Source organism: Homo sapiens, chromosome 1, assembly GCF_000001405.40.
Source record: "Homo sapiens chromosome 1, GRCh38.p14 Primary Assembly".
NCBI classification, from domain to species: Eukaryota; Metazoa; Chordata; class Mammalia; order Primates; family Hominidae; genus Homo; species Homo sapiens.
In genome coordinates, this window is record NC_000001.11 from 21,561,420 (window position 1) to 21,573,495 (window position 12,076).

At 55.5% G+C, this 12,076-nt stretch overlaps 1 protein-coding gene across 7 annotated transcripts in view, besides 1 other annotated feature; it reads left to right on the forward strand.

The window, feature by feature from the left end:
* Window positions 1–12,076, forward strand: part of ALPL (alkaline phosphatase, biomineralization associated) — a 69,427-nt gene that overhangs the window by 52,436 nt on the left and 4,915 nt on the right. For all 7 annotated transcript variants that reach the window (NM_001369805.2, NM_001369804.2, NM_000478.6 and 4 more), the window contains 4 exons: window positions 1,691–1,865; window positions 2,622–2,797; window positions 6,685–6,828; window positions 8,886–8,955. In NM_001369805.2, coding sequence (NP_001356734.1) covers window positions 1,691–1,865; window positions 2,622–2,797; window positions 6,685–6,828; window positions 8,886–8,955 — 565 coding nt within the window. The remainder of the gene's footprint in view (window positions 1–1,690; window positions 1,866–2,621; window positions 2,798–6,684; window positions 6,829–8,885; window positions 8,956–12,076) is intronic.
* Window positions 7,098–7,682: an enhancer, noted in NCBI's record as "H3K4me1 hESC enhancer chr1:21895010-21895594 (GRCh37/hg19 assembly coordinates)". NCBI's record gives its function as "activates a minimal SCP1, AML or CMV promoter by ChIP-STARR-seq in primed H9 embryonic stem cells {active_cell/tissue: H9 hESC(primed)}" and the evidence as "EXISTENCE:reporter gene assay evidence [ECO:0000049][PMID:30033119]".

A 12,076-nucleotide genomic window follows, 5' to 3' on the forward strand; every position in this document is an offset into this window, starting at 1 on the left:
TGCTCTGTTGCCCAGGCTGCAGTGCAGTGGTGCAGTCATAGCTCACTGCAGCCTCCAACTCCTGGGCTCAAGCCATCCTCCCACGTTAGCCTCCCGAGTAGCTGGGACTACAGGTGTGTACCACCACATATGGATAATTAGAGACCCCCCCAAGGTCTCTAATTCTTGGGCTTAAGCGATCCTACAGCCTTGGCCTCCCAGTCTTGGGATTACAGGCGTGAGCCACCATGCACGGCCTATATATGCCTTTTTTTTTTTTTTTTTTTTGAGACAGTCTTACTCTGTCTTCCAGGCTGGAGTACAGTAGCATGACATCAGCTCACTGCAACCTCTGCCTCCCGAGTTCAAGTGATTCTTCTGCCTCAGCCTCCCAAGTAGCTGGGATTACAGGCATGCGCCACCATGCCCAGCTAATTTTTTTATTTTTAGTAGAGACAAGGTTTCACCCTGTTGGCCAGGCTGGTCTCGAACTCCTGACCCCAGGTGATCTGCCCACCTTGGCCTCCCAAAGTGCTAGGATTACAGGCATGAGCCACCGTGCCTGGCCTGTATACACTTTTGCATGAAGTTCCAGTTCATTCATTCTTTCCCGAGGCAGTTCGTGAAGTTAATTAGACTATAGGCATACCTCAGCTATACTTCGGGTTTGGTTCCAGGCCACTGTAATAAAGCAAATATTGCAATGAAGCAAGTCACACATTTTTTGGTTTCCCAGTGCATATAAAAGTTATGTTTGCACCCTACAGTAGTCTTTTAAGTGTGGGATAGCATTATGTCTAAAAAAATGTATATACCTTAATTTAAAAATATGCTATTGCTAAAAAACGCTAATGAAGTGAGCTCATGTTTTTGGAAAAAATGATGCTGATAGACTTGCTTGACACAGGGTTGCCACAGATCTTCAATTTGTAACAAACACAGTGTCTGTGGAGTACACTAAAATGAGGTGTGCCTGTACTGACCTAGGTTGTTCAAGGCAGTGTGCACTGCCGGGTAGCTATTGCTATTGGTGGTGGTGATAGTGGTGTTATGTAATAACCTCCAGACCCTGGGTCAGGCCCCAGGCTCACTTCTGGGGGAGTAGTGGGGACTATGGTGCCTTCTGTGCCTTCAAGGTGCTCTCAGGCTGGTGGGGAAGGGAGACAGGCAAATAGTTTTGGGGTCTCTGCTAAACATCCGGATGTAGGGCAACCCTGTGATGGTGGCCGCAGGGCAGGTGGCAGAGAAGTCAGCGCTGGTCTTGGCCCCACCCTTCCCTTCCCCAGTCCCCTTCCCCCTCACTTTCACTACCCTATCCCCAGACCCCCCACTCCTTCAAGAAGGCCCCTCCCTCTCCCTTCTCCAGGACTCCCCTGCTCCCCAACCCCTTGCTGGCTCCTGCAGCCCCAGGCCCGGAGAGAGGCCTCCGCTGACCCCACCTGAGCCCCAATCTTCCGCCGGACACTTCTCTGTACTTTGGAGAGCTAAGGTCCTGCCCCAGTGCTGCCAGGGTGCAGGGAATGATGGCAGGAAGCAGGCAGCTAGGTAGTCCTGTGGCTCTGGGGGGCTTCAGTGGGCAGTGGGCCTGGTCAAGGCTATGGGGTCCTCTCTGGTCCCTCACGCCCCAGTCCCCATGGTGTGAGTGTAGGCGGGGTGGGTGCCACTGGGGCGAAGGCCTGGCCATCTCCTGACCCTCCTCTCCCACCTGCAGACGTACAACACCAATGCCCAGGTCCCTGACAGTGCCGGCACCGCCACCGCCTACCTGTGTGGGGTGAAGGCCAATGAGGGCACCGTGGGGGTAAGCGCAGCCACTGAGCGTTCCCGGTGCAACACCACCCAGGGGAACGAGGTCACCTCCATCCTGCGCTGGGCCAAGGACGCTGGTGAGTCGGGGGAGCAGTGGGGAGCAGGGCCAGCTTCGTGGCCTGTCCAGGCCTCAGTCTTTCTGACTGTGTCATGGGAAGGGGCTAGAAAAGGCTTCTCTGTGGGGCTCCCAGCTCTGATATGCTGGGAGTCTGTAATATCCATGGGATTCCTTCCGTGACAGGGGAAGCTGAGGGTTTGGGGTTCACTCAGTGGTGGGTTCTGGTCCCAGTTCATTTCTCTGAGTCGATTCTTCATTTGACTATAAAACGGGTGGGAACGTAGCCCCCTCATAGGGTTGGTGTGAGGAGGGAGAAGTCAGCCCAGGGCTAGCCTGTGGGGTGCAGTCCATGGCCACGCCCCTTCCCTCCTCAGAATTGGGAGGCCCAGCCTGTGCCCCCAGAAGCTTTAGTCAGGGGCCAAGGCCAAAACACAGGTGACAAGGCCAACATACAGGTGACAGAGCCACAGTCCACTTGAGATCCCTCAGGGGTCCTGTGGGCGCCTTGATGAAGGGGAGGACTCCAGCCCAGGTGCTCACATCTCAAGGGCCTTCGGGGTGAGGGGAGAGGGTTCCAGAGGCAGTGTTCTGGCTGCTCGGCTACTTGGAAGCCACTGCCAGACACCTGCTGCTGTGGATGGGGAGACTGAGACCCGGGCAATCCTCAGAACTGAAGCGGGGGCCTGTCTTTAGCGGGGAGGGGGAAGGGAGGGAGGAGGCCTCTGGGACACCCCGATCTGTGGATAAAGCCAAACCCGCCCCTCCTGCACCCCAGGGAAATCTGTGGGCATTGTGACCACCACGAGAGTGAACCATGCCACCCCCAGCGCCGCCTACGCCCACTCGGCTGACCGGGACTGGTACTCAGACAACGAGATGCCCCCTGAGGCCTTGAGCCAGGGCTGTAAGGACATCGCCTACCAGCTCATGCATAACATCAGGGACATTGACGTGAGTGCTCGGGGGCAGCCGGGCAGGGACGGGGTGAGGCGGGGCCTCTGGTGGGCAGGAGGCCTCAGGCCCAGGCTGGCCCGGAGAAAGCAGCCTGGCCTGGCTCCCCACACACCTGGGAGGCTCCCAGCCCATTAGGGGATTTGCGGTTGGGCAGGCAGGCACTGTGGGATTTCTCTGCGGTGGGGCTGCGGGGTGAACCCTCATGTGACCGCCACCACACCCCAAGAACCAGGCATCCAGGGATGATTCCATAAATTGAAACCTGGTGCTGTGCCCTCCTCTGCCCCCCACTACACGGGAGGTGGTGATGGCCAAGTGTCGTCTGCCTGCCCTGCGTATTCACATGGTCACAGATGGGTACATATCTGTACACTCAACCACCAGCATGCCCGGCAAAGAGCTGGTGTGTACAGTGGTTGGCTAGTGCCAGCTCTCGTGTTTAAACTTCCGAGTTCCAGACCTTGCCCTGCGTGTTGCTAGCTGTGTGACCTTGGGTCAGTTACTTAACCTCTCTGAGGCTTCCCTTTCACAACTCCTTTGTGAACTGTACCTGCCTCATAAGCTTATGCCAAGAACTGATTAAGATAATCCCTGTGGAGCTCAGCACAGGACCCGAGGCCTAGCGAGTGCCCAGAAGGTGGTGGCACTTACGCAGGAGCCACATGTCCTTGCCCTGAAACACACTTCAACAAACTGAGCTGACTCATGGAGACAGAAGTCATCCATGTGACGCTTACTCTCTGTTCTTAAGTGAGAATGCCCGGCTCGTTCCTTTTCAGGCTTTTATTGCCTACTGTGGGGGACTGCTGAGGCGATCTGGGGACTTCTGCCCCTTGAGCCTGGAATGGGGATTCGGTGAGGGGCAGAGAAAGCCCCCCTGCCCAGCTACACCTCACCTCTTTCTCTCCACCACCAGACAAACTCACCTGCCTTCAGCCCTCCATGCACTGCCCCCCACAAATTTCTGGGGGCTACTTGGCCCCTCCACAGTAGAGACCCACGTCTGCCCTTTTCCCAGCATGGTGGATTAAGTACCCGCTTTCAGGACACACAGTGCTGTTGGCCCCTTTCACTGAACAGACATCTGAGGCCAAGCCACTCATCCTGGCTTGCCTTCACCCGACATGTGGCCTGGGGCGAGTTCCTTCCCCTCCCTATGCCTCAGTTTCCCCACCTGTGCAGCAGAAACAGAGAGCCACACTTGCTTGCTCCCAGGGCCGTGGGAGGCCGTGATGAGGTCATGGATGTGAGAACATTTGTTGTACAGGCACAGGGTATAATTACATGGGGACTGCTCCTCAGAGGGGTTTGTCAGGGACAGCCTGAGCAGGGGACAGGAACTTGAAGGAAATTCGAGGGGAGGGAAGATGTTTCAGGTGAGGGGGTGGGAGATGAGGAGGGGGGGCCGCAGGGGCCACGTCAAGGGGCACAAGCCAGGGAGTGAGTGAGGACGGAGGACCTGTGTGAGGATCCCTTTCTTTCCTCCTCTTCCTTTCTCTCCCAGCCCCACCTGCCTCTCCGTCACCACCCCCCCAAAAGCCTCCCAGTCCCCAGACTGTACATGAAACAAAAATCCTGGTGTCCACCCTGAAAATAAATACTGTTGCTTAAAAAAAAAAAAGAAAGAAGAGAAAGAAAGAAAGAAAGACACAAACCTAAACCCCAAAGCCAAACAGCAAGTCTGTTATTTGGGAGTTTAATGAGCCCGTGTGAAGTCGCTGCCGGGCTGGAAACGATGAGGCTCCCTGCAGGAAGATTGGGGGCTTCGTTTTCCACTCTGAAGATGCCAAGAGGTCAGGTTCTGTGGGAACAGTTGTGGGGGGCGGGGCAAGGGACCCGTGACCTGGGGTCCCCTTCTCCTTCTTCTCCCAGCCCACCCTGCCCCCTGAGCTCCTGGCTGCAGCTGAGAGCAAGGACTCTGCCTCTCTGAACCACTTGTTTCCCCACTCCTTCTGGCAATAGAAATGCCTTCCAGTGGCAGCCACCCCCTGGGTGCTGGGGACTTCCCTGGGTGACTGCCTTTCCTCCTGTGATGGGTCTGTGGATGGATGTTAGTTGCATTTTATTTATTATTATTATTTTGAGACGGAGTCTCATTCTGTCTCTAAGGCTGGAGTGTAGTGGTGCGATCTTGGCTCACTGCAGCCTTCACCTCCCGGGTTCAAGCGATTGTCCTGCCTCAGCCTCCTGAGTAGCTGGGATTATAGGCGCACATCACCACGCCCGGCTAATTTTTTTTTTTTAAATTTTTAGTAGAGACGGGGTTTCGCCATGTTGGCCAGGCTGGTCTCAAACTCTGGACCTCAGGTGATCCGCCCGTTTTGGCCTCCCAAAGTGCTGGCATTATAGGCGTGAGCCATCGCGCCCGGCCTATTTTATTTTATTTTTGAGACAGGGTCTCACTCTGTTGCCCAGGCTGGAGTGCAGTGGCGTGATCATGGCTCACTTCAGTCTCAGCCTCCTGGGCTCAAGTGCTCCTCCTGGCTCAGTCCCTTGAATAGCTAGGAGCACAAGCCTGTACCACCATGCCCGGCTAAGTTTCGAAACAAATTTTATTTGTATAGACAGGGTCTTGCCATGTTGTCCAGGCTGGTCTCAAACTCCTGGCATCAAGTGATCCTCCCGCCTCAGCCTCCCAAAGTGCTGGGATTACAGGCATGAGCCACCGCGCCTGGCCAGTCGCATTTTATGGATAGGAAAACTGGGCTCACAGAGTTTAGGTGGCAGGCCCTTGGTCAGTAGTCGATAGAGTCAGGGTTCAAACCCAAGTCTGACTTCAAAGCTCACGGCCATGACCATGGCCTGGACCCAGGCTGGTCCTGGGGCACCTTTCCCACCTCTCCAGCCATCCTGTGTTCCTGGCCCCCTGTGCATTCCACAAAACCTAGGATCTAAGGTGGGAGACAGAGTGGAGGATAGAGCAAGGGACCTATGAGATGCAGGCCTGGAATGGTGGATCTGGGGCCAGTGTCAGCCAGGCTCTGCACTCCCAAGGTGTCAGCCAGGGGCAGTGGCCCGGGCTGGCACCCGCGGTGACAAGAGAACACTAGTGTGGTGGTCACCGCAGGCGGCTGCTGTTATGCTCTTGGCCCTACTTTAAAAATAGTCAGAACTTCAAACATGGACTCCCAAGGAAAACAAACAGTCCCGCGTCCGTCTGCCCGCACACACCAGCTGGTGGGTAAAATTAGCCTGGTGGTGACTACAGAGCCGTGAGGCCCGGCCCCGCTGTTTGCCCAGGCTGCGGTGGGCTGGCTCCCAGCTGTGGGCTGCCCCAAAGACCTCCCTGGCTGGAGCCTCTCCCTGCACGCATTCAGCCTTCCACCGTGGGAGAGGAGGCTCTGGGAGTCCCTGCCCTTAGCTGCACGAATACAGCAGGGCCCTAGTGCCACAGCCGGAAAAGCCCTGGGTTTGAATCCTGATGCTGCCACTTCCTGGCTCTGTGGCCTTCGGGGGAAAAAACCAATTTCTGTGCCCATTTTTTTAGTTGGAAAACAGGTGGCCAGGGTTTATTGCAGCCTTGGTATGAAGTTGAGTCAGAATGTATCTTAAATGCTTAGTGCCTGACACACAGGGAACGCTCTGTAAATGGTCTGATTCTTATTCGAGTGGGAGTTCTGTGGATTCCGGGAAGCCAAGTAAGGTAAGTTATCAGCTCCTCCAATATCCCTAGAAGCGCCAAACCACCGTCCCAATAGACTCGTGATTTCATCTCCCCACGCTGGACAAGTAAGGCCCAGAGATGACTGAGGCCTGGCTCACCAGGCTGGGAAAGTGTCCACACCATCTCCAGGGACTCCAGGAGTCCAGGTTCCAAGCCGAGGTCACTGGGGCTTCTGGGCATCTTGGAACCCTGCAGAAGTGATGGCTCCTGTCTCTTTTAGGTGATCATGGGGGGTGGCCGGAAATACATGTACCCCAAGAATAAAACTGATGTGGAGTATGAGAGTGACGAGAAAGCCAGGGGCACGAGGCTGGACGGCCTGGACCTCGTTGACACCTGGAAGAGCTTCAAACCGAGATACAAGGTAGCCTGTGCTGGGGCCATGTGGCTGCAGAGGTGGCCTGTGATGGGGAGAGGCTGTGTGACCCCTGCTCTGAAGTTCTGTTGTCCTCTGTAGAAAGGGCATCGGAAATCTTTCCTCCATGGGCTCAAATGGCCTAAGAGATATACAAGCAGTAGATAGTCAGTGACTAATCATTTCCTTCCCTTGGAGGGGATACCAGAGAGAGGCGGATGGTGAGGAGGAGGCTGGGCCAGGGAATAACCTGCGTGGACATTGAGTCACCCTGAGCACCTATTGTATGTAGGCACCTGGCGGGGCATGCGTGAGGCACAGAGGCTGAGTCAGATGGCCAAGGAAACATGGAATGCTGTGTGCCTGCATGGGGGACGCCTGGCTCTGCAGGCGCCCTGGGGGGACAGATGACAGGGAGGAGCCAAGAAGCTCTGGGCAAGTAGGAGGATGGAGGGAGGAGGCAGCGCTGGATGGATCAGGGGAGGACATGGTTGGCCCCAGTGTGCAAGCCATGGAGGGAGCGGAGAAGCCCTCCACAGTGAGTCCCCCTTGGCTGGGGGATGGAATAGATTGGGGAAGGGAGGCTGGAGGACGGAATAGATTGGGGAAGGGAGGCTGGAGGGACCTCTGGAAGGACCCCAAGCTCCAGCTCCTTGGAGTGGCCTCTGGCCCTTTAAATCTGAGCTGCTGGCCTGCGGGCCTGGGGCAGCTGGGGTCTGGAAATGACTGTGGTCAGGGCTGAAGACAGTGGGGAGTAGCCTGGCAGCCACTTTGATGTCACTCTGGGGTTGGGTTTCTGCAAGTTCCAGGACTGGCCCCTGGGGAGGCCTCGTGGGATGAGGCTGGGCCAAGAACGAGGTGGGGGTAGGGACTAGGGAAGGGCCCCCGTGGGGATGGTGGGGGTGTGGAACTGAGTGGCTTTGAACCCTTTCCATCCCTTCTGAGTCAGCTCAGGCTGGGCCAGAGCCCCCTCCAAGCTCAAGCCAGAGAGACACCAGCCTCAGTTTCTCTACGTGGCACATGGGGCCAGAGCTTCATCCTCCTTGCCCAGGCAGGGTGCTTACCCAGGAACTCGGTCTAGACCTCTAAGACGGGGAGAGAGCGTCTACACCATGGCCCCGAGCCTGGCCACATTGGGTATCAGGTCCCGTGTAGGCCCCACATCCCTAGAAAATCATGCCTTAAGAGTGGGTTTTAGAGTCAGTTTCACCTTTACCATTCAGTGGCTACGTGGTCTGTGTGCCTCGGTGCCCTCATCTGTAAAGAGGGAATAACAGGAACAACCCTGGAGGGAGAGAGCACAGGAGAGCCACCTCCAGGAAGCAGGGGCTGGGAGGGGGGGTGCGGAGCCCCACTTTCTGAGCCTCTCTGCCCTCCTCCCCACAACAGCCCCTGAGGCTTGCAAAGCCACTGATCCCACTGTCATTGCTAAGAGAAGGCAGGGGGTCTTCTAAGGGCACACAGCAGATCCTTGGTAGTGCTGGGACCCCTGGTCCAGGCCCACATGGTGCCCTCTCCAGGCCTGGCCTAGCTGGCTTCTTTCTGTGGACTTTATTCCCTGGGGAAACAGCCACGCCTTTATCTCCCCTCCCAGATGGGGTCCCCAAAGCAGAGCTGGGGCTTTGCTTCCTCCCTGGCCCTCCACGGCCTCCAGAAAACAGCCCACACCTGTCAGCACTCAAGGCCCCTGGAGACCTGTGCCTGGCTCTTCTTTGCCCCATGATCCCTCCTCCCTGGAATAGCCTTCCTGACCCTAGGCTGTTCAATTCCCACTTGTCCTCCAGGGACCCATTAGAACATCACCTCCACCAGGAAGCCCTCCCTGGTCCTGTGTCTGGGCTCACGGCCTCCCTGGGCTCTATCAGAATTCTCATCCCCTTGCATTATACATTATAATGGGCTATTGATTCATCATTTCTTGAGGTCAGGGATGGTGGGTCCTCAGGGAGAGATTTTTAAGTGAGGGAAGGAAACAAGTAAAGGCCTCAGACTCTGATAGCTGCTGGGGTCAGTCCTTCCGACTCTCCCTAGCCCCCGGCATGTGCTGACACAGCCCTTCCTCCTAGCACTCCCACTTCATCTGGAACCGCACGGAACTCCTGACCCTTGACCCCCACAATGTGGACTACCTATTGGGTAAGTGGAGGGGGTGGAGGGGAGGATGCATGGCTCGGAGCCTGGTGGCCGGAGCTGCGTGTGGCCAGCACCTGGGGACAAGGCCCTAGCCTGACGCCCACTTAGGGGCCTCTGCTCTTGGGCTTCAGGACCTGGGAGAGGCAAGGAAGGGGGTTCTGGTTCCTGGAATTAGGCCTGAAATCTGCTGGCTGTGCAGGGGGATTAGCCTCATTGGGCACAAGAAGAAACTGAAGCTCAGAGAGGGGAGTGGCCCGCGGCATGTGGCACAAGTGACAGCGGTACGGCCCAGGCAAGTTTGAGCCCTGGCTGGGAACTGGGACTTAACAGCTCCTGGGCTATGGAGCCTGGGACCTGGAGTCAGCTCTACTGTGTGCATGGCCAGGGCAGAAGCCAGCCAAGTTATCTCTGCCCATCCTGACGATTGCCCTCCTCCCCAGGCAGTGGGGAGCATGTGGTGAGGGCCCAGGGGCAGCTTCAGGTCTGGTGGGATGCAGCCCTGAGCACCACCATGCAGCTATCCGGGTTTTCTTTTCCAGCTGTCTGTAGTGCCAAGCAAGTGGTGGCAAAATCTCCTGCAGACATTTCCCAAGGAACACAGCTCCGCGTCCTGGGTGTCATTAGAGGTTATGGGCTCAGAGCTGTGCACCTGGTGGGTCCTCCAGACACATGCACACAGCCTCTTGCTTGCCTGGGTCACATGGCACACACCCAGTACCACATGGGCTGTGCATGCACCCGTGTATCATGCTGGTTTTGCTCATGGATCTTAGAGCCAGAGTGCTGGGTTCAAATCCAGCTCTACCACCTCTAAGCTGTGTGACCTTGGGCAAGTGATTTCTCCTCTTTCTGCCTCAGTTTCCTCTTCTATAAAGTAGGGATAATGATGCTCCCATAAAATGGAGATAGTGATGGGGCTGGAGACAACCCCTGGGTTGTCATGAGCATGACATGAACTTGTGTTGTATAAGTTATCTGTTGCTGTATAACAAATTATCTCAAAACTTAGGCCAGGTGCAGGCCGGGTGCAGTGGCTCATGCCTGTAATCCCAGCACTTTGGGAGGCCGAGGTGGGCGGAGCACAAGGTCAGGAGATTGAGACCATCCTGGCTAACGAGGTGAAACCCCATCTCTACTAAAAATACAAAAAATTAGCCTGGCGTGGTGGCGGGCGCCTGTAGTCCCAGCTACTCAGGAGGCTGAGGCAGGAGAATGGTATGAACCCGGGAGGCGGAGGTTACAGTGAGCCAAGATCGCACCACTGCACTCCAGCCTGGGTGACAGAGCAAGACTCCGTCTAAAAACAAAAAACAAAGAACAAACACGAAAAAACTTAGGCCAGGTGCAATGGCTCGCGCCTGTAATCCTAGCACTTTGGGAGGCCAAGGCAGGTTGATCACTTGAGCCCAGGAGTTTGAGACCAGCCTGGGAAACATAGCGAGACCTCAATTCTACAAAAATTTTTTAAAAACTGGCCAGGTGTGGTGGCGCACACCTTTAGTCCCAGCTACTCAGGAGGCTGAGGTAGGAGGATCCACCTGAGCCCAGGAGGTTGAGGCTGCAGTGAGTTGTGATTATGCCACTGCACTCCAGCCTGGGTGACAGAGCAAGACCCTATCTTAAAAAAAAGAAAGAAAGAAAACATTAGCCAGGTGTGGTGGTGCCAGCCACTCAGGAAGCTGACGTGGGAGGCTTGCTTGAGCCCAAGAGTTTGAGGCTGCAGTGAGCTATGATCATGCCACTGCACCAGTTTGGGCAACAGAGTGAGACCCTGTCACAAAACAAAACTTAACAGTTTAAAACAAGAGTAAACATTTATTGCCTCACTCAATTTCTTTGGGTCAGGAATCTGGGGACAGCTTAGCTGGGTCTCCCATGAGGTCACAGTCATCTGAAGGCTTGACTGGGGCTGGTGCTTCCAGGATGGTTCACTCACATGGCTGGCGAGTTGGTCTTGGCTGTTGGCAGGAGGCCTCAGTTCCTTGGCACATTGCTCTCTATAGAGCAGCTTGAGTGTCCTCATTACATGGTGGCTGGCTTCCCACAGAGATCCAAGAGTATATAAACAGAAGCTACAACATTTTATGCCCCAGCCTTCGAAATCACACACCATCATTTCGGTGGCATTCTATGGCATACAAAGGCTAGTGTGGGAGGAGACCACACAAGCGCGTGAATTCCAGGGGGCAGGGGTTATTGGGCACCATCTTGGAGGCTGGCTTTTGCCTGCTTCCAAAGCGCTAACAGCATGTGGCACCAAGTGAACCCTGTGTGCATGGGAGCTATTGTTCGGCTGTGTACCCACTCACAGAGGGGCAGGGTGTTCTGGAAGGACACCAGAATTGGAAGGACACCAGAATCAGAAGCACCAGCATGGGACACATGGAACTTTGTGCCATGGGCAAGGAATGGATCATTCTCCTTATGTCACAAGTGAGAAAACGGAGCCCAGTGAGCAGGAGGGACAATGATTCCAAACCTTCTGCTGTTTCGCTGCACAGGCCACCGTGCCCTTCAAATCCAACATGTAAATGCACACACACTCTAGCGGCCCCATCGAGTCCAGGCTGTGACCCTCTGCCTTGGGGCCACAGTGCTGTGTGCTGAGCCCTGCAGGCTGGAGGCAGACTGACTGATGGATTTGAACCCCAGATCTGCCACTTCTCAGCTGACAATAGCAAGTTATGGAACACCTCTGGGCCTCAGTGCTCCTCATCTGTGAAACGGGCATGGTGATCCCACCGCGCCATAGTGGTGGGAATGAAAATGAAAGGAATTGGGGCTGGGTGCGGAGGCTCACGCCTGTAATCCCAACACTTTGGGAGGCCGAGGTGGGCGGATGACCTGAGGTCAGGAGTTCGAGACCAGCCTGGCTAACATGGTGAAACCCTGTCTCTACTTAAAATACAACAAAAATTAGCTGGGTGTGGTGATGCATGTCTGTAATCCCAGCTATTCAGGAGGCTAAGGCAGGAGAATCACTTGAACCCGGGAGGCAGAGGTTGCAGGGAGCCGAGATCGCACCACTGCACTCCAGCCTGGACAACAGAGTGAGACTCTGTCTCAAAAAAAAAAAAGAAAAGAAAAGAAAAAGAAAAAAGAAAAAAAAAGGAATTGGGGGCCT